General features: G+C 59.9%; 2 protein-coding genes across 11 annotated transcripts in view, besides 4 other annotated features; both read left to right on the forward strand.

The window, feature by feature from the left end:
- The window catches only part of NISCH (nischarin), a 37,465-nt gene extending 31,255 nt beyond the window's left edge, over positions 1-6,210 (forward strand). For 2 of the 3 annotated variants that reach the window (NM_007184.4, XM_006712955.4), the window contains 6 exons: positions 338-1,747; positions 2,478-2,820; positions 3,217-3,373; positions 3,847-3,975; positions 4,494-4,655; positions 5,014-6,210. In NM_007184.4, coding sequence (NP_009115.3) covers positions 338-1,747; positions 2,478-2,820; positions 3,217-3,373; positions 3,847-3,975; positions 4,494-4,655; positions 5,014-5,624 — 2,812 coding nt within the window. In that variant the 3' untranslated portion in view covers positions 5,625-6,210. Of the gene's footprint in view, positions 1-337; positions 1,748-2,477; positions 2,821-3,216; positions 3,374-3,846; positions 3,976-4,493; positions 4,656-5,013 lie in introns of those variants that run through there. The other variant, XM_047447373.1, reaches the window with a different exon arrangement.
- The window catches only part of STAB1 (stabilin 1), a 29,158-nt gene continuing 13,406 nt past the window's right edge, over positions 8,480-24,231 (forward strand). For all 8 annotated transcript variants that reach the window (XM_005264973.4, NM_015136.3, XM_005264974.2 and 5 more), the window contains exons 1-25: positions 8,480-8,633; positions 14,308-14,444; positions 14,780-14,895; positions 15,148-15,233; positions 15,301-15,370; positions 15,774-15,869; positions 16,141-16,251; positions 16,486-16,682; positions 16,914-17,044; positions 17,170-17,297; positions 17,603-17,691; positions 17,881-18,018; positions 18,145-18,285; positions 18,461-18,523; positions 18,810-18,923; positions 19,025-19,078; positions 19,312-19,392; positions 19,834-19,992; positions 20,755-20,817; positions 21,073-21,168; positions 21,415-21,501; positions 22,352-22,463; positions 23,012-23,198; positions 23,284-23,377; positions 23,491-23,649. In XM_005264973.4, coding sequence (XP_005265030.1) covers positions 8,556-8,633; positions 14,308-14,444; positions 14,780-14,895; positions 15,148-15,233; positions 15,301-15,370; positions 15,774-15,869; positions 16,141-16,251; positions 16,486-16,682; positions 16,914-17,044; positions 17,170-17,297; positions 17,603-17,691; positions 17,881-18,018; positions 18,145-18,285; positions 18,461-18,523; positions 18,810-18,923; positions 19,025-19,078; positions 19,312-19,392; positions 19,834-19,992; positions 20,755-20,817; positions 21,073-21,168; positions 21,415-21,501; positions 22,352-22,463; positions 23,012-23,198; positions 23,284-23,377; positions 23,491-23,649 — 2,787 coding nt within the window. In that variant the 5' untranslated portion in view covers positions 8,480-8,555. The remainder of the gene's footprint in view (positions 8,634-14,307; positions 14,445-14,779; positions 14,896-15,147; positions 15,234-15,300; positions 15,371-15,773; positions 15,870-16,140; positions 16,252-16,485; positions 16,683-16,913; positions 17,045-17,169; positions 17,298-17,602; positions 17,692-17,880; positions 18,019-18,144; positions 18,286-18,460; positions 18,524-18,809; positions 18,924-19,024; positions 19,079-19,311; positions 19,393-19,833; positions 19,993-20,754; positions 20,818-21,072; positions 21,169-21,414; positions 21,502-22,351; positions 22,464-23,011; positions 23,199-23,283; positions 23,378-23,490; positions 23,650-24,231) is intronic.
- Positions 17,135-17,640: an enhancer, noted in NCBI's record as "H3K27ac-H3K4me1 hESC enhancer chr3:52538009-52538514 (GRCh37/hg19 assembly coordinates)". NCBI's record gives its function as "activates a minimal SCP1, AML or CMV promoter by ChIP-STARR-seq in primed H9 embryonic stem cells {active_cell/tissue: H9 hESC(primed)}" and the evidence as "EXISTENCE:reporter gene assay evidence [ECO:0000049][PMID:30033119]".
- Positions 17,641-18,146: an enhancer, noted in NCBI's record as "H3K4me1 hESC enhancer chr3:52538515-52539020 (GRCh37/hg19 assembly coordinates)". NCBI's record gives its function as "activates a minimal SCP1, AML or CMV promoter by ChIP-STARR-seq in primed H9 embryonic stem cells {active_cell/tissue: H9 hESC(primed)}" and the evidence as "EXISTENCE:reporter gene assay evidence [ECO:0000049][PMID:30033119]".
- Positions 19,513-20,112: an enhancer, noted in NCBI's record as "H3K27ac-H3K4me1 hESC enhancer chr3:52540387-52540986 (GRCh37/hg19 assembly coordinates)". NCBI's record gives its function as "activates a minimal SCP1, AML or CMV promoter by ChIP-STARR-seq in naive H9 embryonic stem cells {active_cell/tissue: H9 hESC(naive)}" and the evidence as "EXISTENCE:reporter gene assay evidence [ECO:0000049][PMID:30033119]".
- Positions 20,113-20,714: an enhancer, noted in NCBI's record as "H3K27ac-H3K4me1 hESC enhancer chr3:52540987-52541588 (GRCh37/hg19 assembly coordinates)". NCBI's record gives its function as "activates a minimal SCP1, AML or CMV promoter by ChIP-STARR-seq in naive H9 embryonic stem cells {active_cell/tissue: H9 hESC(naive)}" and the evidence as "EXISTENCE:reporter gene assay evidence [ECO:0000049][PMID:30033119]".

Genomic DNA, 24,231 nt, shown 5'->3' on the forward strand with positions numbered 1-24,231 from the left:
CCGGGGCTTATGGCAGCAACTGAATGACTTAGAAGTCCATGGGAGTGCTTCTGTTGTGGGAACTCGTGTGGTCTGGGCATAGCTGTGCCAGGCACCTATGGTCCAAGCCCCTAGAAGCATAGACTCTGACCAAACTGGCGACCCAGCCTTCCAGCAGGCAGCACTGGCTCCCACCAGGGCCCTCATCCTGGGAACTGACTTGGCCATGTGGGAGGCTTGGGAGACCCATGGGTTGGTTTCTCAGGGTCAGGGTGTAGCAGTGGGCTCCAGATGTGGCAGGTGGGAGGTGGGAGGGGCCCCTCCCAGCATGCCACTGACCTGGCCTCTCCCTGCACAGCCCAGAACATGCCGAGCCGGAGGTCCAGGTGGTGCCGGGGTCTGGCCAGATCATCTTCCTGCCCTTCACCTGCATTGGCTACACGGCCACCAATCAGGACTTCATCCAGCGCCTGAGCACACTGATCCGGCAGGCCATCGAGCGGCAGCTGCCTGCCTGGATCGAGGCTGCCAACCAGCGGGAGGAGGGCCAGGGTGAACAGGGCGAGGAGGAGGATGAGGAGGAGGAAGAAGAGGAGGACGTGGCTGAGAACCGCTACTTTGAAATGGGGCCCCCAGACGTGGAGGAGGAGGAGGGAGGAGGCCAGGGGGAGGAAGAGGAGGAGGAAGAGGAGGATGAAGAGGCCGAGGAGGAGCGCCTGGCTCTGGAATGGGCCCTGGGCGCGGACGAGGACTTCCTGCTGGAGCACATCCGCATCCTCAAGGTGCTGTGGTGCTTCCTGATCCATGTGCAGGGCAGTATCCGCCAGTTCGCCGCCTGCCTTGTGCTCACCGACTTCGGCATCGCAGTCTTCGAGATCCCGCACCAGGAGTCTCGGGGCAGCAGCCAGCACATCCTCTCCTCCCTGCGCTTTGTCTTTTGCTTCCCGCATGGCGACCTCACCGAGTTTGGCTTCCTCATGCCGGAGCTGTGTCTGGTGCTCAAGGTACGGCACAGTGAGAACACGCTCTTCATTATCTCGGACGCCGCCAACCTGCACGAGTTCCACGCGGACCTGCGCTCATGCTTTGCACCCCAGCACATGGCCATGCTGTGTAGCCCCATCCTCTACGGCAGCCACACCAGCCTGCAGGAGTTCCTGCGCCAGCTGCTCACCTTCTACAAGGTGGCTGGCGGCTGCCAGGAGCGCAGCCAGGGCTGCTTCCCCGTCTACCTGGTCTACAGTGACAAGCGCATGGTGCAGACGGCCGCCGGGGACTACTCAGGCAACATCGAGTGGGCCAGCTGCACACTCTGTTCAGCCGTGCGGCGCTCCTGCTGCGCGCCCTCTGAGGCCGTCAAGTCCGCCGCCATCCCCTACTGGCTGTTGCTCACGCCCCAGCACCTCAACGTCATCAAGGCCGACTTCAACCCCATGCCCAACCGTGGCACCCACAACTGTCGCAACCGCAACAGCTTCAAGCTCAGCCGTGTGCCGCTCTCCACCGTGCTGCTGGACCCCACACGCAGCTGTACCCAGCCTCGGGGCGCCTTTGCTGATGGCCACGTGCTAGAGCTGCTCGTGGGGTACCGCTTTGTCACTGCCATCTTCGTGCTGCCCCACGAGAAGTTCCACTTCCTGCGCGTCTACAACCAGCTGCGGGCCTCGCTGCAGGACCTGAAGACTGTGGTCATCGCCAAGACCCCCGGGACGGGAGGCAGCCCCCAGGGCTCCTTTGCGGATGGCCAGCCTGCCGAGCGCAGGGCCAGGTGAGATCAAGCACAGCTCTCAGGGGCCCCGGGGGCATGGGTCTGGCATGTGTGTGATCTCAGCATCTGCGGCTAGTGTGGGCTGGGAGTTGCTGCGAGAGCTGGGCCCCCTCCCCCCCTGCCCCTCGCCCCCCCCGGGCCTCCCTCTACATCACCACCCCAGGTTTGGTGCCAGGCTGCTCCTTATCTCAGTGCTGTAGAAGAAGCCCAGGAAAGCTGTCCTCTCACAAAATGGGTTGGCCCAGCCTCTTGCCACCCATGAAGGGCAGGCCAAGGGGGCTGCCCCACCTTTGCCTGCCCAGTGGGAGAGCAACAGGCTGCAGCACACCGAGGCCAGGAGAGCTGTCACCCTGGCTGCTGTGCTCCTCTGGGCCCAAGCATGGCCTCTGGGCACTACCTCCTCCAGGGTCACAGTCCCACGGATGGCTCTGTGGGCCAGGATCTGCCTTAGGCTTCACCCACCTCAACATCTTGCTGTGTTGTTCAGGCTGGTCTCAAACTTTGGGCTCAAACAATCCTCCGCCTCAGCCTCCCAAAGTGCTGGGATTACAGACATGAGCCACCGTGCCCGGCCGTGCTGTTCTGTTCTCCAATAGAGAAGCTGGTGGAAGTCCCCAGTAACCCAGAGGTGATGTGTGATGCACACAGTCTCCTCACTCTGAAGCTGCACATGCGATGTGAATCTTCATTTGGGGTCCGCTGTTAATATGGTGTTTTTCGGGGGATACAGCAATGACCAGCGTCCCCAGGAGGTCCCAGCAGAGGCTCTGGCCCCGGCCCCAGCGGAAGTCCCAGCTCCAGCCCCTGCAGCAGCCTCAGCCTCAGGCCCAGCGAAGACTCCGGCCCCAGCAGAGGCCTCAACTTCAGCTTTGGTCCCAGAGGAGACGCCAGTGGAAGCTCCAGCCCCACCCCCAGCCGAGGCCCCTGCCCAGTACCCGAGTGAGCACCTCATCCAGGCCACCTCGGAGGAGAATCAGATCCCCTCGCACTTGCCTGCCTGCCCGTCGCTCCGGCACGTCGCCAGCCTGCGGGGCAGCGCCATCATCGAGCTCTTCCACAGCAGCATTGCTGAGGTAGCGGCCCGGGTGTGGGTGCCAGCTATGGCACGGCCAGTCCTGAGGGCGAGGCCAAGCTTGGCTTCAGGTCAGCCTCAGGTCCCTGGACTTCCCTGATGTCGGAGTCCTCAGCTGAGCTGCTCACAGCTTTGAGGACCTGGGCAGTGAGGTCCTGAGTTGCCCTCCCCTGGCCATTTGTGCTGTGTCACCACCTCCTGTGCCACTTCCAGCCCCAGGTAGACCTCCCACCAACAGCCATCTCCCACCCCTCTCTTCCTCTCTGCCTTGAAGCATACGGATTCATTGGTGAGCCAAGAGGGGCTTCCCATGTCTCCTTGTGGAAGCTGTGGGCATGTCCCTGGTATGTGCAGGTTGCTAGGGTGGTGGAGCTGACAGGAGGCCCCCCGTCTTCAGGTTGAAAACGAGGAGCTGAGGCACCTCATGTGGTCCTCGGTGGTGTTCTACCAGACCCCAGGGCTGGAGGTGACTGCCTGCGTGCTGCTCTCCACCAAGGCTGTGTACTTTGTGCTCCACGACGGCCTCCGCCGCTACTTCTCAGAGCCACTGCAGGGTAGGCACAGGGCCTGCTGGGGCTCAGGAGCTTGGAGTGTGTGGTTGGGGCAGGCCTGGGGGGTCATTCTCTGGAGCCAGCTGTGTGGCTTCAGGCAGCAGTCAGCGACTTGGCTGCAGTGGGCTGAGAGTTCCTTGTCTGAGGAAGGGAGCTGTCATGAGGGAGGGGTCCATGGCCAGATGTGAACGCAGAATGCACTGAGCCAGGGCCTGGTGACTGCTTGGGAACAGCCAGTGATGAGAAGGGGTTAGGCAGCCTTTGCCCCTGGGGCTGCACAGGAAGCCCTAGCCAGCGACCTGGTGACTCCCCTGAGCTGGAAGAGGCTCCGACTCCAGAGGGCATTGCCTATGGGGCTTTGCACGGGTGGAAGCCAGGCCAGCCAAGAGGACCTGTTCCTGCTGGATGTGCTGCACACCTAGGAACCTTGTGCTTGCCTGCCACCGCCTCCCTCTGTCCCTTTCTCCATCACACAGATTTCTGGCATCAGAAAAACACCGACTACAACAACAGCCCTTTCCACATCTCCCAGTGCTTCGTGCTAAAGCTTAGTGACCTGCAGTCAGTCAATGTGGGGCTTTTCGACCAGCATTTCCGGCTGACGGGTGGGTGACCCTCTGTGCTTTGTCCTATTTCGGGTGAAGGCCAGCATCACCAGTGGGCTTCCACCTTCCGTACGTGGGTGGGTTATCATAGACAGTTATCTCTGTGCTCAAGAGCCACTTCTTAACCGGGGTGGGAGGAAGCAGCTTCAGGAACTGCTGAGAGAGCAGAACTCACGCTCCAGGGCTCAGAGCAGGAGGTAGGGTGTGCGGCAAGCGCTGGCCCGGACAGAAGCAGAGTGGGCCCTGGTCTCGGGCAGGATGTTTCTGACTCACATTTCCTGAGGAGAGAAAGCTAAGCTCTTTGCCTAATGTCTCTGTCTCCCCTTCCAGAAAAATGCCTCAGCTCTTCCGGCCTGAAGGAATGGCCTCCTCCCGGGCCCCATGATTCTTTCCTGTGTGGGCCCTCCTGGCCCTGGCCTCTGGGCTGAGGCTTGCTAGGGACTCGGGGTGGCTCTAAGGGGCAGGGATAGGGCTGGGGAGCGCCGGCCTGTGGCCCTGACCAGCCCCTTCTCGTGCAGGTTCCACCCCGATGCAGGTGGTCACGTGCTTGACGCGGGACAGCTACCTGACGCACTGCTTCCTCCAGCACCTCATGGTCGTGCTGTCCTCTCTGGAACGCACGCCCTCGCCGGAGCCTGTTGACAAGGACTTCTACTCCGAGTTTGGGAACAAGACCACAGGTACCCCTGTCTAGCTCAGGCTGCAGACAGGCTGCCTGGACAGACGTCATGGGCCCCAGGGTGGCTCTCTGTGCCCCAGAACCCTCTCTGCCTCTATGTCTCTCTTTTCTCACTTAGCTGGCCAGGGTTTTATGTGGGGCTTTTCGATGGCAGAGTCTCCACTCCAGCAGTCCCTCAACCATCTGGCAGACACATCTCCAGTGCCTGCTTTGGGCTCCTGGCCTGTGGGCCCCACACTTGGAGCATCCTCTCCTGCCTGTCTCATGCCGGGGTCTCTCGGTTGGCTTGGGGCCCTTGGTGCTCCCAGCCCCACCAGGGGCCGGTTCCAGGCTATAGCCCAGGTGGCATCTCTCTGCAGGGAAGATGGAGAACTACGAGCTGATCCACTCTAGTCGCGTCAAGTTTACCTACCCCAGTGAGGAGGAGATTGGGGACCTGACGTTCACTGTGGCCCAAAAGATGGCTGAGCCAGAGAAGGCCCCAGCCCTCAGCATCCTGCTGTACGTGCAGGCCTTCCAGGTGGGCATGCCACCCCCTGGGTGCTGCAGGGGCCCCCTGCGCCCCAAGACACTCCTGCTCACCAGCTCCGAGATCTTCCTCCTGGATGAGGACTGTGTCCACTACCCACTGCCCGAGTTTGCCAAAGAGCCGCCGCAGAGAGACAGGTACCGGCTGGACGATGGCCGCCGCGTCCGGGACCTGGACCGAGTGCTCATGGGCTACCAGACCTACCCGCAGGCCCTCACCCTCGTCTTCGATGACGTGCAAGGTCATGACCTCATGGGCAGTGTCACCCTGGACCACTTTGGGGAGGTGCCAGGTGGCCCGGCTAGAGCCAGCCAGGGCCGTGAAGTCCAGTGGCAGGTGTTTGTCCCCAGTGCTGAGAGCAGAGAGAAGCTCATCTCGCTGTTGGCTCGCCAGTGGGAGGCCCTGTGTGGCCGTGAGCTGCCTGTCGAGCTCACCGGCTAGCCCAGGCCACAGCCAGCCTGTCGTGTCCAGCCTGACGCCTACTGGGGCAGGGCAGCAGGCTTTTGTGTTCTCTAAAAATGTTTTATCCTCCCTTTGGTACCTTAATTTGACTGTCCTCGCAGAGAATGTGAACATGTGTGTGTGTTGTGTTAATTCTTTCTCATGTTGGGAGTGAGAATGCCGGGCCCCTCAGGGCTGTCGGTGTGCTGTCAGCCTCCCACAGGTGGTACAGCCGTGCACACCAGTGTCGTGTCTGCTGTTGTGGGACCGTTGTTAACACGTGACACTGTGGGTCTGACTTTCTCTTCTACACGTCCTTTCCTGAAGTGTCGAGTCCAGTCCTTTGTTGCTGTTGCTGTTGCTGTTGCTGTTGCTGTTGCTGTTGGCATCTTGCTGCTAATCCTGAGGCTGGTAGCAGAATGCACATTGGAAGCTCCCACCCCATATTGTTCTTCAAAGTGGAGGTCTCCCCTGATCCAGACAAGTGGGAGAGCCCGTGGGGGCAGGGGACCTGGAGCTGCCAGCACCAAGCGTGATTCCTGCTGCCTGTATTCTCTATTCCAATAAAGCAGAGTTTGACACCGTCTGCATCTTCTAAACCAAGGGTCACTGGGATCCCAGCAGGGCTTCCGTCCAGGGCGTGGTCACATGGGGGAGGGAGGGTGCCCTGGAGACAGGAGGGTGAGGGGTTGGGGGAAAGGAAGGAGCAGCCCTCCAGGAGCCAGATGCTTCTTGGAACATGGGAGGCATGACAGGGCCATGGCCTCTCTGGACAGTGCCATGCTGGGCTGTGGCTAAACCATGAGCGCAGGGCAAACAAGAAACTCCTCAGGGCACCCCTGACACACCAGCCGCTGCCCCTCTGCCTGGGTGCGGGGCATGCCACCCTCTTCAGGCTGTCCTGCAGGTCTTATGTGTCAGTCACCCCTGGGCCCAACCCCACCTGTTTCACAACCCCTGTTGAGAGTGGGGGAGGGGCGAGGAGGACAGAGAGATCCCAGAGTCTGAGGTGGCTGGTGGGGGCCGGGGCATCTCACCAAGGTGGCCCTTGAATGGCAGCAGGGGAGGTCTGTGGGGAGGTGGACCCAGGTGGTGGACAGTGGAGGGAGGGGCACATACCCATCTGTGTCTGTCTTCATGTCCCTGAAACATGAGGCTCATGGGCCCCTCCCTGAGGGTTGCTTCAGGGAGCCTGCTGAGGTAGGACCTGGGATTTTGGTAGCCAACCCCATGCCACACTCTTCCCCAACCCCATTCCTGCTGCCAGAGCAGGGCCTATGAGCCCCACATAACTCATCCTGGCCCAGCCAGGAGCCTCAGTCCCCAGGACCTTGGGGCAGCCAGGCCAGGCAGGGCTGTGGAGAGGTGGGTGGCGTGGCCAGCCTGGGTCCCAGGCCTGCTTCTGTTCCCCCGTTTCCCTTGGTGCCAGCAGAGTGGGGGTCCTGCCTGGAGGACCCTTCACCCCCAGGAAGACTGTGGGTGTGGGGAATGTGGGGAGGGTTTCCCCTTGCAACCCCCATCCCAGCCAGATCTCAGGCCTGCCTGAAGGCCCCTCCAAACTGATGGGAGTGGAGGTGTGCTGGGGAGGAGAAACTTTCCCCAACCTGGCCTTTACCAAAGCATTTACAGATGGCCACCGGGCTCTGGCCCACTCCTGTCTCCCCAACTGTTACGCCGTCTGCAGTTGGGGGTAGTGACAACTGGAGGCAAGGCCCACCACGTGCAGCCCTGGCACGCAGAGGCCCTCAGCCTGGGCCCACTGCACCTCTTGGGGGTGCTGGCTGTGCAGGCAGTGGTGGCTTCAGACAGTAGCCCTGGGATTGGATATGAAAACTGATTACCTCAGACAAGCTACCCAGCCCCTCTGAGCCTCAGTTTCCCCACCAGTAACAGAGGGATCATAAAAGTAGCCACCTCCATTCATTTATTCCTTCTGCACACGTGTATTGAGCATCCACTGTGCGAATCAGCCAGACAGCGCCCCTACTCTTCCACAGCCAATGTTCCAGGGGAGACAAATGAAACAAGCCAATGTCAGCTGGTGGCTGGTGCTGCCAGGTGAACCAGGTGCAGGGCCACCTGCAGGCTGAGACCAGGGAGGCGCTCTGAAGTGGTGGCCCTTGACCTGAGACCACCTGTGAGAAGGAGCCAGAGTGTGACAATCTAGGGTAGCAGCACATGCCGGGAGAGCTCACTGAAGGAGCAGAGAGGCCTGCGCGGCTGGAGCAGACCTGTCTGGGGAGAGTTCAGAGAGACCAGCCAGCTGGAGAGGGGTTTGGAGGTGCTGCAGCAAGCTGGCTGAGCATGGGCTGCTGAGTGGAGGGCAGATAGGGAGGCAGGGAGGGTGGATGGGGGTTGGCGGGCAGGACCAGCGGCTCAGGAGTGGCTGGGGCTAGTGAGGGGATGTGGGTCTGGTGGGCTAGCAGGGTGCCTGTAGCGAGTCAGAGCCCCATGAGCGCCCTGGAGTTGGAAAGGTGGAGGCAGGAACAGACAGACCCATTCAGGGGCTGCCCTGCCTTCCGCCGACCAGCACCCCAGGAGCCTCTGAATGAAACACACTGGGCTCGCAGGCGGGGGACTCGTTCACGTGTGCCTTTGGATTTGCTTCAGAACCTCTGATAGAGCCCAGGTCCCGGGGCTCATGGTGGCCTGGACTTCCAGGTTGTGATGCCAGGAGGGTCCCAGCCGGGAAGCCCCGAGCAGGGCTCAGGCCGCCCATGGGGGGTCAGTGGCCAGCACCTTCCCTTCCGCCTGCAGGCTGCTGATATGCAGGAGGAAATCCTGGCGGGTTCCTGTGGGGGTGAGCTGGCGGGGCCTCCGGGCTGCTTTTAAGGCCACTGCCCGCCCCGTCCCGCCTGCCTGTGCTGTGCCTGCCTCCTAGAGCTCATTCCCTACGCCCCGACTCTGTCCTGGACAGCGTGCCCACCAGCCATGGCGGGGCCCCGGGGCCTCCTCCCACTCTGCCTCCTGGCCTTCTGCCTGGCAGGCTTCAGCTTCGTCAGGGGGCAGGTAAGTGTGAGCCAGTCGCAGGGGCACACGGCGTCTGGGCCCTGCCGGCCAGCGGTGGGAACAGGGAGGGACTGACATGGAGGGGCAGGGGCCTGGGGAGAAACCGCAGCTGGCGCCTGTCTGGCCTCTTAGCAGGCCTGGGGGCTGGCTATTGTGCCCACCTCCCCAGTCTGAGGTCTGCGTCCAGCCACCCAGGGTTCAGGGGTGTGTCAGCCCACCCTCCTCTGACTATGCGGGGCCGGGGCTCCCCAGCGTGCAGCTGAAGTGTACAGAGGCAGGCCTGTCCTGCCCTTCTGGCCCAGACGGAGGCCCAGGTCTTATGTGGCCCTCACCTGGGGGTTGAAGATGTGATCACCTCCAACCCCCGAGGACTACAGATTCACGTGGGGCAAGTGTGTGCACATGTGTGTGCCTGTGTCCAGCCCCAAGAGTACCGGGAAGCAGAATGAGTCACTCACCCTTAGTGTCCGGGGTTATGAGCAGCTGGCAAGGACACACTTCAGCCTCAGAGCTGCCACAGAGCAGCCACAGCCCCGGGCAGGTCCCCTTGAATCCTCACAGCCTCGGGGCAACTCCTCCTGTCCTCCTCGTGAGGAACCCGAAGCCCTAGGATGATGGGGACAGGCCATTCCCACTCTAAAGCCATGCTCCAAACCCCTGCCTGTGATGGCCATCCGTGTGTGCTGGCGAGCAGACAGGGTCCTGGTATGCAGCCACAGCCAGCCCCTCGGTCAGGTCCCTGTGACAGGCTCCTGGCTGCAGGTCTGCTCAGGCCCCATGGTAGGGGCCTCTGGGAGCTTCTGGAAGAGCCTCCCACCCTGGTGATGGGGGTAGTCTCTCTCCTGTGAGGCTGAGCGTGTCTGCCTCCTGGAGCAGCAACCACTATCCCCATGGCACAGATGGCCAGACTAAAGTCCAGAGCGGGGAGGACTTGCCCAGGATCCCACAGGCAGTCCAGCCAGGGGCCTAGGCCCCCTGCCACCATCAGGCGCTTTCTCTTGGATGCCTGTGGTCCCTCAGAGAGGCAGCAGGGAGAAGGGCCTCACCAGCTTCAGGACCAGGCCAGGGCTGGGGACAGGAAGATATGAGGCTGAGAAGGCGACAGTGATGGGGGAAGAGCCAAGGGTTCCAGGGCTGTGCTGAGAGCCCTGCAGGTAAGCTCCTGCCCTCCCCTTAACTCAGTTTCCCCCTGTGTACCATGCAAGGGAATTTCAAAGGCCTCCGCCACCTCCTCATGCTCTGGGCAGTGAGGACAGAGGTCAGTGAGGGGCCTCAGATTCGAGTTTTTTCCTTGTCAGAGACCTATGGCTCTGACCACTCCTTGTGGATGGGGCTGCAGCAGTGCTGGCCACTCTAACACAGCTACGTGGCCTCTATCCCAGCACCCTGCATAGCCGAGAGCCACTGTAAGTGCAGTTGGCCCTCTGTATCTGTGCACCCTGTACTTGGGTTCAACCAACCCTGGATTGAAAATATTCAGGAAATAAAATGGCATCTCTACTGAACATGTTCAGACTTTTTTTCTTTTGAGGTGGAGTCTCGCTCTGTAGCCCAGGCTGGAGGGCAGTGGCGTGATCTCGGCTCAGTGAAATCTCCACCTCCCAGGTTCAAGCGATTCTCCTGCCTCAGCCTCCCGAGAACTGGGATTACAGGCGCCCGCCACCACACCCAGCTAATTTTTGAATTTTTAGTTTCACCATGTTGACCAGGCTGGTCTGTAACTCCTGACCTCAGGTAATCCACCTGCCTCAGCCTCCCAAAGTGCTGGGATTACAGGTGTGAGCCACCGTGCCCAACCCCATGTTCAGACTTTTCTATGTACATAGCATTTACATTGTATTCGGTATTATAAGTCGTCTAAGGATGACTTAAGGTATACGGGAGGATGTGCATAGATTATATGTGAATTCGATGCCTTTTTTTTTTTTTTTTTTTTTTTGAGATGGTGTCTCTCTCTGTTGTCCGGGCTGCATTACAGTGGCGCTATCTCAGCTCACTGCAACCTCTGCCTCCCAGCTTCAAGGGATTCTCCTGACTCAGCCTCCCAAGTAGCTGGGACTACAGGCGCACACCACCACACTTGGCTAATTTTTGTGTTTTTATTAGAGACAGGGTTTCTCCATGTTAGCCAGCCTGGTCTCGAACTCCTGATGTCAGGTGATCTACCCTCTTCGGCCTCCCAAAGTGCTGGGATTACAGATGTGAGCCACCACTCCCAGCCTCGATTCCATTTTATACCAGGGACTTGAGCATCCACAGATTTTGGTATCTGAGGAGGGTCCTGGAACCAGTCCCCCATAGACACCAAGGAACAACTATATTAGGAGTGGAAGCTCTGAGGGGAAAGGATATCCCGGGTAACCTGTTCAGTAAGGGCAGCAACAGGACTGGAGTGAAGATGGGTTTGGGCAGCGAGGCAGGAAGGCTTTCCTGGAAGGCCCTTAGCACTTGCCCATTCAGCAGCTTTTCACCGAGGGCACGTGGCTAGGTGTGTGCAGTGGAGCCTGTGGCGGGAGAGGAGCACGGTCCAGAACCCAGCCCTGCACCCTCCCTGATCTGACCAAAGGTAGGGGGAAGCAGTTTGGGGTTCCTTCCTCTCTGACAGGGTTTAGATTCTGGGCTCTCAGCCTTAAAAAGTCCCCATGAACCAGGTCCCAGCTTGGGAGAATTTCATCCACCTTCTCACCAAAGACTTCACACTTCGTGTCTCCTCAACTTCCCCCAGCAGCAGCTCTGTGGGAAGCAGACATTGCAAAATCAGGTCTGCGGGGGGTGTGGGGTTGGGGGGGAGACAGCACCCGCTCTGGCTCAGTCCCGAGGTGCCCCCAGGAAGGAGGGAATCTGACTCAGCACTCAGGCCGTGATCCAGCCTCACTCCACCCAGCTGGACCAACGGCAAGATGTGGGCTCAGACCGCCGATGCTCCTTCCAGGCCATGGGGCGGAGGCAGGGCCCCTCGGCTGTGGTCTCGGAGAAGCACTGATGTGGCAGCAGGCTTACCATTCATCAGCATTTCACACACGTTTACAAACACCCAGGTCCTGTGAGTGAGTGTCCACACCAGGCCCCAAAGCTCCCGCTTCCTTCTGGGCCCTAACTCACCCATCGCTCCATCTAGCCCTGACTGTCTCAGAGTGCGACCAGCACAGTCTTACTCAGCCTGAGCCCTTATCCAGAGCTGACCACCATTCCTCCAAGAGCTGGTCCACAGCCAGAATGGTGACCGCGCTGGCAGCTTTGCCCAGCTGGCCAGGTGGCTTTGAGGGGAGCCCACCTCCTGCCAAGCCTCTACCCTGAGCCAGCAGCTGCTCAGCCCTCAAGTTACCCAATTTCCTAGTCTCTCCCTGGCTCAGCAAAGGCGAGCCTCAGGATGGGGAACGAGACCACAACATCCCAGCTCCGCCGTTCAACACAGGCTGCTCTGAGCAACTTCCCTGTTTGCAGACCGCAGAGGCATGAGCGGAAAAGGCCAAATCACGGTAGCACAGAGGCTCTGGGGCCCTGGTATTTGCCATAAGAAAGTGTCAGGGGCACCATTTCTCCTTTTCTCTTGCTTTGAGAAGCCACACATCTGTAAATTATTCCAGGAAAGGGATGTTCTGGGGTCACTCCCTTTGGACCACAGTGTGGTCAGCATTTTTCAAGATGAGAACATCTCCACTTCTCTGGGCCATGCCCAAAGCCTCCCAAACACCTCCCCTCCAACCTATGCCCCTTCCCTATGCCCCTTCCTCCCACTAGAACTGGGAGTTTAGCTTCACGCCTCCTGGTTCAGTGCTGAAGGTTGCTGGGACTTTGTTGCCGTAGAAGGCTGGTGGACTTCCAGGAGCTATGGCAGGCCAGTGAATGGGACTCCAGGCCTGGGGCTTTTGTCAGCATCCTTGTGCCCATGCCGTGGTGGCAGGCTGGACTCCTCACATCTTCCACGCCCCACCCAGTTGCTGAGACCTTCTCCCAATTCATCTCACCACCCCAAGCCCTCTCAAATATCTCCCAATCCATTTCCACTGTCCCTGCCTTGGCCCAGGCCACCTTCAGGTAATGATGGCCTCTTTCCCACCACACCTGCCCCTGCGACTGTATTCTCCATGCAGCAGCCAGAGGGCCAATTTAAAACAAACTGGCCGGCCGGGCGCGGTGGCTCACGCCTGTAATCCCAGCACTTTGGGAGGCCGAGGCGGGCGGATCACGAGGTCAGGAGATCGAGACCAACCCCGCTAAAACGGTGAAACCCCGTCTCTACTAAAAATACAAAAAATTAGCCGGGCGTAGTGGCGGGCGCCTGTAGTCCCAGCTACTTGGGAGGCTGAGGCAGGAGAATGGCGTGAACCCGGGAGGCGGAGCTTGCAGTGAGCCGAGATCCCGCCACTGCACTCCAGCCTGGGCGACAGAGCGAGACTCCATCTCAAAAAAAAAAAAAAAAAAAAAAAAACTGGCCAGGCACAGTGGCACATGCCTGTAGTCCCAGCTACTCGGGAGGCTGAGGCAGGAGGATCGCCTGAGCCCAGGAGTTCAAGATTACAGTGAGCTAGGGTCACACCACTGCACTCCAGCCAGGGCGACACAGCGAGACCCTTTCTCAAAGACAAAAAACCATAAACTGAGTCATGGGGCTGCCCTGGACTCTGCCTCACCCAGGTTTACGGAGCTCCTGCACCCCAGCTGCCAGCCCCTCTCCAGCCTCCCCTCGGGCCACTGCCTGCCTTGTCACACATTTGTTTTTACTTCTTTCCACTCCCGGCCTTTGCTTCTGCTGTCCCCTAGGCCAGGAGCACTGTCCTTGACCAATTCTCATGCATCCTTCAGGTCCCAAGTCAATGACCACCTCCCTCAGGAAACCACCTGGGGCCCCAGCCAGGATGCCCTGGGTTTCCTCAGAGGCTGGCATGGCCCGTTGTCTCCTGTGACTGCCCAGCCCAAACACTTGCAGACCAGAGTCCCTGCACACAGCTGCTCACGTGAGCCCAGCCTCTCAGGGCCAGGGCCCTTAGTCTCTGATTCCTGGGCAGCGGAGAAAGCCCTTGCGCTTGGTTAGAGAGGGTCATTTGGTAGCAACGTGGGAAAATGCTCAGAGCAGAGTGGTGGCTGGAGGTCCAGCCCCACGGTGCATGGCTGGAGCCGGCATCGTGCCTGTGCCCATGAGTTGAGGATGGAGTCGCCGTGTCCTCCCAAGACAGCATCAGCTCTGTCATTTATTGTTTCTTTATCTTTAAACAAAAGGCAAAAGTGAGCACTAGGCTGGGAATCTGGGTTTAGTCCCTGGTTCACACCCTGTTCATGGATGAGATTGGGTAGCGGCCATGTCCTGGGCTTCAGTTTTCTCACCTGAAATGGGCTTGGGGGAGCAACGTGGCTAGATTCTCTAGTGTCAGAGGGTGTGGACTCAGAGCCTTCTGGGCCGGGCACATAAGGACTCGATGTGACATTAACAACTTGTAACAGACAGGTTTCACAGGGCCTTCCCCATCTGCACTGCATTCCCACTGAGCGCCCCCAGGGCATTCTGTGGACCCCCAAAGAACTCAGCTCTGTGCCCAGAACCCTCTGCTTACTCTGACCCCTGAGCAGATGGGAAGTGGCAGCTGGAGGGGTGTGAGCCCTTGCAGCACTGAGGACAGGGTCAGGACTGGGCGTGGGGTCCAGGCCCCTGACCACACCCTGCCTGTGGCCCCAGGTGCTGTTCAAAGGCTGTGATGTGAAAACCACGTTTGTCACTCATGTACCCTGCACCTCGTGCGCGGCCATCAAGAAGCAGACGTGTCCCTCAGGCTGGCTGCGGGAGCTCCCGGATCAGATAACCCAGGACTGCCGGTGCGGGCCACCCCTGTCCTTGCCTGTGTCCAGGAGCATCCTGTGGGGTGGCAGGGACTCGGGGAGCCTGACAGGCCCACAAAATGAGGAGAAGCACTCACTTATCCATGCCCCTGTGGCCCCACCTGGGTGGTGGAGATAGGCGGGGAGGAAGGGGTAAAGGCGAGGGGCAGGAGGGGTTTATGGGGCACCTGCTATGTGCTAGGCCCTGTGCTCAGCTCTGGGCCAGGCAGAGCAGGGAGGTGGGTGGGAGCCCCGGAAGCCAATGTGGGGAGGCTGGGTGGGGGCTGTGCAAGGGAGCCTTTTCCATCACCCTGCCCACCCTCTGCCCCCAGCTACGAAGTACAGCTGGGGGGCTCTATGGTGTCCATGAGCGGCTGCAGACGGAAGTGCCGGAAGCAAGTGGTGCAGAAGGCCTGCTGCCCTGGCTACTGGGGTTCCCGGTGCCATGGTATGGGAGAAAGGGGGACCCCGCCTTGCGCCTCCCACCCAGCCCCAGCTCTGGGCAAGCCCTCTGCAGGAGCCACCTGCATTCCCCTTCAACTTGTTTGTTTAATTAATACTCACCGAGCGCCTCCAAGGCTCGGCCCCCTTGCTCTTGCTTCCTTGGGGGAGGGGCCGAGTCTGGGGTTGGCCAGAGCTGCTGGGGTCAGGGTAAGCGGAGGGTTCTGGGCACAGAGCTGAGTACTGTGGGGGTCCACAGAATGCCCTGGGGGCGCTGAGACCCCATGCAATGGCCACGGGACCTGCTTGGATGGCATGGACAGGAATGGGACCTGTGTGTGCCAGGTAAGGGCTGGGCAAGGTGGGGTGGAGGCTCAGAGGGGCCACGCTGACTTGGTGCATCCACCACCAGGAAAACTTCCGCGGCTCAGCCTGCCAGGAGTGCCAAGACCCCAACCGGTTCGGGCCTGACTGCCAATCGGGTGAGTGCTTAAAAGGCAAGAGGGCACGGCCAGCGTCCACCTGGGGGCCCACGCAGATGCAGTACCTACAACCAGCTCCCACCTGTCCCTTCAGCCTCTGTCCCAGCCCCTCAGATTTGCACATCCCTTTCAGGAACATGTGCTTTGTTTTATCACACCTCCAGCCCTTTGCACATGCTACTCCCCTGAGAGGCCTTCTCCAGGAAGCCCTCTGTGAGCCCCAGGCCGGGCCAGTGCCTTCTGTGGTCTCCCACCACCCCTGTGGTCCCGCATCACAGCTCTGTACTCTTAAGGTTGTACCTGCCCGAGCTGAGTTCTAAAAATACAGAGAGCAGGGACCCGATGTCCCAGTGTGTGCCTGGGAGAGGCTGGGGCCCCATCTGTCTCTGTGTGTCCCTCCCAGTGTGCAGCTGTGTGCACGGAGTGTGCAACCATGGGCCACGTGGGGATGGAAGCTGCCTGTGCTTTGCTGGATACACTGGCCCCCACTGTGATCAAGGTGAGCAGCGCCACTGGGATAGCCTAGGGCAGCAGGTCCCTGTGGCCAGAGCAAAAGAGGCCGACTGGGTGAGGATGGGGCCTGAGCCTCAGCAGGACCTCCGCCTGGAGCCTAGTTGGGGAAGGGGTGTCATCTGAGACCTCCACTGTCCAGAGGCCCAGCAAGGTCAGGGCCCTGCTCCAAGTCACACAGAACAGGCAAGGCCCCTTTGCCCCTGTGTTCCTCCCCAGCCTGGGCTTGGGCTCATCAGTGCTCTCTCCACTCTGCGCAGAGCTGCCCGTCTGCCAGGAGCTGCGCTGTCCCCAGAACACCCAGTGCTCCGCAGAGGCTCCCAGCTGCAGGTGCCTGCCCGGCTACACACAGCAGGGCAGTGAATGCCGAGGTGAGCCTGGACTCAGAGGCCAGGGACTTCAGCTCAGGGCGGGCGGGGGCTGGGAGAGCATCCTTTAACCCAGCAAGTGCAATGTAATTCACAAGGAGGGAGAGCCATTCCTAAGGGGAGCCTATCCTCAAGGCCTAGGTCAACCTGCTGGCCCCGGCCTTCCTGGTGAAAGCTGTGGCGGAGACAGGGCTCCTGGGTGCTTGGCTCACTTGGGCTCTCTCTCTGCCCTGGCAGCCCCCAACCCCTGCTGGCCATCACCCTGCTCACTGCTGGCCCAGTGCTCGGTGAGCCCCAAGGGGCAGGCTCAGTGTCACTGCCCTGAGAACTACCATGGCGATGGGATGGTGTGTCTGCCCAAGGACCCATGCACTGACAACCTTGGTGGCTGCCCCAGCAACTCTACTTTGTGTGTGTACCAGAAGCCGGGCCAGGTGAGCCAGGGTCCCAGGCCGGAACTGTCCCCACAGTGCACCCAAACACTGGCTATGGGACCCTGGGCAAGTCACAGGCCTTCTGGTAGCCTCAGTTTCCCCACTTGTAAAGTGGGGAGAGGATAAGGGTCCTCTTCAGGGAGGGGCTGAGCAGGGCTCTATGGGTAGGGCAGACACCAGTGGTTCTTGGGGTTGGACGTGGTGTTCCCCTCCTGCCCTGTCGGGGGCCAGGCCTTCTGCACCTGCCGGCCAGGCCTGGTCAGCATCAACAGCAACGCTTCTGCGGGCTGCTTCGCCTTCTGCTCCCCCTTCTCCTGCGACCGGTCTGCCACTTGCCAGGTGACCGCTGATGGGAAGACCAGGTGAGCACAGGTGCCTGGGAGCAGAGACAGTGGGTTGGGCAAGCGTGCCCTCTGCGGGAAGGCGTGGGGGGTGCGGTGGGGGGGGCCTCAGCCTCCGCCCTGACTGGCTCTCCCTGGGAGCCCAGCTGTGTGTGCAGGGAAAGCGAGGTGGGGGATGGGCGTGCCTGCTACGGACACCTGCTCCACGAGGTGCAGAAGGCCACGCAGACAGGCCGGGTGTTCCTGCAGCTGAGGGTCGCCGTGGCCATGATGGGTGCGTGACCCCACTGCTTGCCCACGACCCGACCCCTCACCCCCAGCACAGTTGGCAGGGAGGGAGGAGCTGCCTCTGCAGATTCCAGTTTCTCTGCCCAGGGCTGTGGGAACAAACAGGTGGCTGTGGGGGGTGCATGCAGGGGGTGGGAGCTGCTCTCCAACCTCAAGGCCCCCATCTACCCTAAATCTAGGGAGAATACCCCCACCCCAACTCCCCCACACCAGGTCTGATGCCCGAACATCTTCTGAGATCCCCAGAGTCTCCCCAGCTCCCTTCTGATGCTCCCTCACCCTGCCCCCCAGACCAGGGCTGCCGGGAAATCCTTACCACAGCGGGCCCTTTCACCGTGCTGGTGCCATCCGTCTCCTCCTTCTCCTCCAGGACCATGAATGTAAGCCCCTCCCCATGGTGGAGCTGGCCACTGGCCCTCACCTCCTCCCCTGGATGCATCCCCAGTCTTCAGGGCCACCTGGAAGGCATCAGGGCCTGGGATGCATCCTGTCCCCTCCATTGCTGGGTAGAGGTGGTGTGAAGAGGACTGGCCCCCCGGCTCACTTTGCTCCCCGCCTTGCGTCTGCAGGCATCCCTTGCCCAGCAGCTCTGTAGACAGCACATCATCGCAGGGCAGCACATCCTGGAGGACACAAGGACCCAACAAACACGAAGGTGGTGGACGCTGGCCGGGCAGGAGATCACCGTCACCTTTAACCAATTCACGGTGAGGGAGGAGCCTCAGCCTGGGGACAAGAGGAGTCACAGCCTGGCAAGGGTGTGCAGGTGGGAGGGAGCCTCCGGACAGGGGGCTGGCATATGGGATCTGGCCAGACCTCTTGTGTCTCACCAGAAATACTCCTACAAGTACAAAGACCAGCCCCAGCAGACGTTCAACATCTACAAGGCCAACAACATAGCAGCTAATGGCGTCTTCCACGTGGTCACTGGCCTGCGGTGGCAGGCCCCCTCTGGGACCCCTGGGGATCCCAAGGTGAGCCAGCATCCTCCCCTCCCCTCCCCTGTGCTGCTGGGTAATCTCAGACCCCTGCAGAGAGCAGTGAGTGGGCAGGAGCCATTCTACTCAGGGCTGGAGCGCAGCTTCTCCCCGCTGGGCTGAAGCAGCCTCACCCCTTCCCTGGGGCCCTCACACTCATCCCTCCTTACAGAGAACTATCGGACAGATCCTCGCCTCTACCGAGGCCTTCAGCCGCTTTGAAACCATCCTGGAGGTAAGCTCGGGGGAGGGGTCCTAGCCCATGTGGGCTTCTGGGCTTCTGAGCCAGGACTCATTATCCCAGATTCTGCCCCACAGTGACCTGGGGTTCTGAAGTAGCATGGCCTCTGCCCATGCCCCCGTCCTCAAGCCTGAGGTTCTGTGGTAGCATGGACCCATTGCCCATGTCTCCCCCTTACTCAGTGGGAGTTTCCTGCAGGCCAAAGGTGGCAGGGCCCAGGCAGGACTCAGAGGTGGAGGCTGGCCATGCAACCCCCTGAGCCTCCCTTGCACCACCACAGAACTGTGGGCTGCCCTCCATCCTGGACGGACCTGGGCCCTTCACAGTCTTTGCCCCAAGCAATGAGGCTGTGGACAGCTTGCGTGACGGCCGCCTGATCTACCTCTTCACAGCGGTAAGCTCAGCGGGAGAAGGGGCTGCGGGTATGGGGGCACCAGGACCTCCACGCTCCCCCACAGTTCCTCCAGGAGCCAAACCCTCTCTCTCCCCTGCCAGGGTCTCTCTAAACTGCAGGAGTTGGTGCGGTACCACATCTACAACCACGGCCAGGTGCGAGGTCTTTTTCTGGGGGGCGGCCAGCTTGTACCCGGTGGGCCTGCCTGCAGGTTCTGGACTTCCCCAAGGCCCCATCTCTTCTCCATCTCCCTTCCCTTCTCATCTGTTCTGCTATAGCACAGAGCCTAGGGACCAAGGGGGTGGCTGTGAGCCTCCTGGGCAGGACTGGGCGTGGCCCCAAGGTATGGCCAGAGCCCAGCCTAAAGCCACACTGTCCCTTGCCCCAGCTGACCGTTGAGAAGCTCATCTCCAAGGGTCGGATCCTCACCATGGCGAACCAGGTCCTGGCTGTGAACATTTCTGAGGAGGTGAGGTGCACGGACACCTGGGCGGATGGTGGGGCTGGCGGTGACCAGCTGCCCACTTGGCCTCTCAGCCTTGTGTGCTCCGAGCCCCGTGGTGGGCAGGACACTGCTAGGCCATGGCGGGCTCATGGGGAAGGAAGCAGGCAGAGATCAAATTCCTCTGCTGGGGCCCAATGAGAGTTAAGGGGGAGGACTCCAAAAAGGAGCATGGAGCACACGGTAGGGCTGCCCCATGTGGCAGAAGCCATGTGGGTAAGGACCCGCAGCCTGGAGCAGTGTCGTTGGCCAGAGCTGAAGGAGAGGTGGCTGGTATGGCCAGCGGGGCCTTCAGCAGCTCACTGAGCTGCCTGTCTGCTCTAACTGGGCTGCAGGGGTGGAGGTGGGCAGCCCCACCGGGCCAAGGCCAGCCAGGCTGGGGGTTGGCTCAGTGGGTCTCTGCCGCAGGGGCGCATCCTGCTGGGACCCGAGGGGGTCCCGCTGCAGAGGGTAGACGTGATGGCCGCCAATGGTGTGATCCACATGCTGGACGGCATCCTGCTGCCCCCGACCATCCTGCCCATCCTGCCCAAGCACTGCAGCGAGGAGCAGCACAAGATTGTGGCGGTGAGCCTCGCCTGCACGGCCAGGGCCCTACTCACTAACCCCTGTCAGCGCTGGAGCGGCAATCCTCTTCCCAGGGAGAGGCGCTAAGTCAGGGCTGGGCTGACGCCGGCTCTGAGGCCCTGCTGGCAGACTCCCAAGGACCCACCTGTGCTTCCCCCACGCTCACCCTCACCAGGACTATGATTCCATCTTTGAGATTTGTTTTGTTTTTTGAGGTAGGGTCTTGCTCTGTCGCCTAGGCTGGAGTGCAGTGGCACAATCCCAACTCACTGTAGCCTCCGCATCCTGGGTTCAAGCGATTCTCCTGCCTCAGCCTCCCGAGTAGCTGGGATTACAGGTGTCCGCCAACATGCCTGGCTAATTTTTGTATTTTTAGTAGAGATGGGATTTCACCATGTTGGCCAGGCTGGTTTCAAACCTCTGACCTCAGGTGATCCGCCCACCTCGGCCTCCCAAAGTGCTGGGATTACAGGCATGAGCCACTGAGCCTGGCCTGAGATAACTCTTGCATCCTCCACCGCTCCATCCCCTTTCACTCACTCTGTGCCTGCCTCTGGCCTCTCTGCTGTTTTCCAGAGACTCTAGCTCTGCCCGGCTCGGGGCCTCTGCCCCTGCTCTCCTCTGCCTGGAATGCCAGTGCTGGGCTTCCTGTGGTTGGCTCTTCTCATCCCTTAATCCCCACTCAATGTTCCCTTCTCTGGGTTTGCCGAGTAAATAAACAATGACTAACCCCTCTCCCCATCCTGCCCCTGCCCTGCCCAGGGCTCCTGTGTGGACTGCCAAGCCCTGAACACCAGCACGTGTCCCCCCAACAGTGTGAAGCTGGTGAGCACACCTTGGCCCAGCTCTCAGGGCCTCCTGACTGCCTGTTGAGGTTTCTGCCCTGGGTCACAGGGGTGGGTGGGGGAAGCAGAGGCTGGGAGGCTAGATCACACCTGGAGGCTAAGTGCTTCGCAGCCCCACTGGACCAGGGTTAGAGTTCTGGACCCAGGGGGCAGAGGTCCCTTAACCAGGGCTGCCTAGCAAAGGGGCTGGCCCAGAACCCACACCCACTGACTGGCTTTGCATGGCCCACCCTAGGACATCTTCCCCAAGGAGTGTGTCTACATCCATGACCCAACGGGGCTCAATGTGCTAAAGAAGGGCTGTGCCAGCTACTGCAACCAAACCATCATGGTAAGCGTGGGCATGGGTGCCCACTCCCAGGTCACCTGGGCACCTGCTGTTCCTCGGGGGCCCCCAAGCTGGGGCTGAGTGGGCTCCCTCCCTCAGAGGATGCACTGCAGCCTGACGGTGGAAAAGGGGTCCCAGAGAAACCTTATCCACTCCGTCACTCTGGAGATGGGGCCAGGGAGCAGAGGCAGCCTGGGCAGGGAGGGCATGGACCCAGATGGCCTCTTGGACCTGTTCTGTCTCTTATAGGAACAAGGCTGCTGCAAAGGTTTTTTCGGGCCTGACTGCACGCAGTGTCCTGGGGGCTTCTCCAACCCCTGCTATGGCAAAGGCAATGTGAGTCCCATCCTCTCCTGGGGTGAGGTATGGGGAACACAAGGACTCCTTCACCGGTTGGCCAGTGACTGGCTGTGTGTCTGGGCCAAGCCTGCCACTCTGGCCTTGGGATTCTCATATCTATGCAGTGGAAAGTTGGATCAAATTATTTCTCATATTTTAATTAAAAATAATTAGAGAGGCCAGGTGCAATGTCTCATGCCTGTAATCCCAGCACTTTGAGACGCTGAGGCGGGCAGATCACTTGAGGTCAGGAGTTCAAGACCAGCCTGGTCAACATGGCAAAACCCTGTCTGTACTAAAAATACAAAAATTAGCCTGGTGTTATGGCACACACCTGTAATCCCAGCTACTCAGGAGGCTGAGGCAGGAAAATCACTTGAACCTGGGAGGCGGAGGTTGCAGTGAGCCAAGATTGCACCACTGCACTCCAGCCTGGGCAACAGAGTGAGATTCCATCCCAAAATAACAATAATAATAATAATAATAATAATAGATAGATAGATAGATTTTTTGGCATTTATTTCCAAAAAGGCTACTTGGTGGTTTTCTTTTGTGTTCTGTTTTTACCACTTTGTAATATCACGGTTACTTTAGCACCTGGCTATAGAAGAACACAGGAGTTATGTGTTTCTGCATCCAGCAAATGTTGCTCATAAAGCCTCCAGGGCCAGGTGCCTTTTAGGGGCTAGGTCTTTGGCGGCATCAGTGATTTTGAAGATCCCTTCCAGGATGAGCTCTCACGGGTAGCAAGAGCTCAGAGCCAGCCCATGAAAGGAGGGGGTGTTGGGAGAGGGGATGTAGAGAGTCCCTTTCCCATGACTGATCCTGCCTTCTGCTCACTCTCTAGTGCAGTGATGGGATCCAGGGCAATGGGGCCTGCCTCTGCTTCCCAGACTACAAGGGCATCGCCTGCCACATCTGCTCGAACCCAAACAAGCATGGAGAGCAATGCCAGGAAGGTGGGTGGTCCTGGCTCAGGCCACCTCCTAGGGAGAAAAAACGTCTGCCTAAAGATGGGTCTGGGGGCTCTCAAGAAGGGAAACGAAGCCCCAGGAGGAGGGACGAAGGCCAAGGGGAGTGGAGGAAGATTTGCCTAAAAATGGGTCTGGGGGCTCTCAAGAAGGGAAACGAAGCCCCAGGAGGAGGGACGAAGGCCAAGGGGAGTGGAGGAAGATTTGAGAACAGAAAGGAGATGCTGTCTGCTTCACCCAGGCCAGGAAGGGAACTGTGGCTTAAAGTATGCGGGACTTAGGTCAGACACACTGAAGAACTTCCTGATGGTGGTGTTGGGATCAGGGCAACTAGAATGGGATAATTGAAAGCTCAGAATGCCCCCCTCACATTTCATCTGCCTGCCCATTGAGTCTGAGATAACCTCTGATTTTTCCACCCTGAAGTCAAATCTGTACTGGCTGCCCCACTCCCTATATCCCCCAAACCCATCCTGGCTCCCAGCCAGCCCTGCCTCCTGCTTCTCAGTTTCCTTGCTCCCATCTACTCCATACAGACTGCGGCTGTGTCCATGGTCTCTGCGACAACCGCCCAGGCAGTGGGGGGGTGTGCCAGCAGGGCACGTGTGCCCCTGGCTTCAGTGGCCGGTTCTGCAACGAGTCCATGGGGGACTGTGGGCCCACAGGGCTGGCCCAGCACTGCCACCTGCATGCCCGCTGTGTTAGCCAGGAGGGTGTTGCCAGGTGAGGACCCACACCTTCTGTCTGCCCCACCCGTGACCTTTCATACCTGAGGCTCACTGGAGCCCCCTCCTTCACCCACCCCCAGATGTCGCTGTCTTGATGGCTTTGAGGGTGATGGCTTCTCCTGCACACCTAGCAACCCCTGCTCCCACCCGGACCGTGGAGGCTGCTCAGAGAATGTCAGTCCCCTTGCTCCTTCCCTGAAGTTCTGACCCAGAGGCAGGAGGTGGGATGCCCTGGCCCTCTGCCTACGTTCTTGTGTCCCTCAGTTATTTATCCATGGCTCTCACAGGCTGAGTGTGTCCCTGGGTCCCTGGGCACCCACCACTGCACATGCCACAAAGGCTGGAGTGGGGATGGCCGCGTCTGTGTGGCTATTGACGAGTGTGAGCTGGACATGAGAGGTGGCTGCCACACCGATGCCCTCTGCAGCTATGTGGGCCCCGGGCAGGTGAGGTGCAGCAGAGAAGGGGTGGGGGCCTTGGTTCTGGGGGACTCTCTCCCTGCCCCATCTGACTCCTGGAATGCAGAGTCAGGTGCTCAGGGTCTGGAGCCTCAGGTGCAGATGAGAACCCAGTGCTGACATGCTGAGTAGTAGCATCTGGGATTCGCTCCTTCATCCATTGGCTCATTGCTTTCCCAGGTGTTTTCAGGCACCTATTCCATGCTAGTCCGTGTTCTAGATGTAGGGAATGTGATACTGAGCAAAGCAGGAAAAGCCCCTGCCCGTGGGAGTGACCTCCCCAAAACTTTAGCCTCATGGAAATCCAGCCCCGGAGCTTTGCAGTGTCTGAATCTAGTCACGGGAGCTCGGAACCTGGAGCCTTCCATGTGGAGCATTTCAGGACTGGTGAACCAGTGTTTGGACAGGCATTGAAGACTGTCTAACGCGCCAAGTGGGAGGCCAGGCCTGGCTGGTCAGGGTCAGCCTCTGCATGGCCAGGCCTGTGGGGCTCCCTGTCCTCCCAACTCCAAGGTGGCCTCTGGGCACCAGCACGTGGGGCCTTAGCAGTAAGAACTGACAGGTGTAAGA

Source organism: Homo sapiens, chromosome 3 (assembly GCF_000001405.40).
Source record: "Homo sapiens chromosome 3, GRCh38.p14 Primary Assembly".
Taxonomy (NCBI): Eukaryota; Metazoa; Chordata; class Mammalia; order Primates; family Hominidae; genus Homo; species Homo sapiens.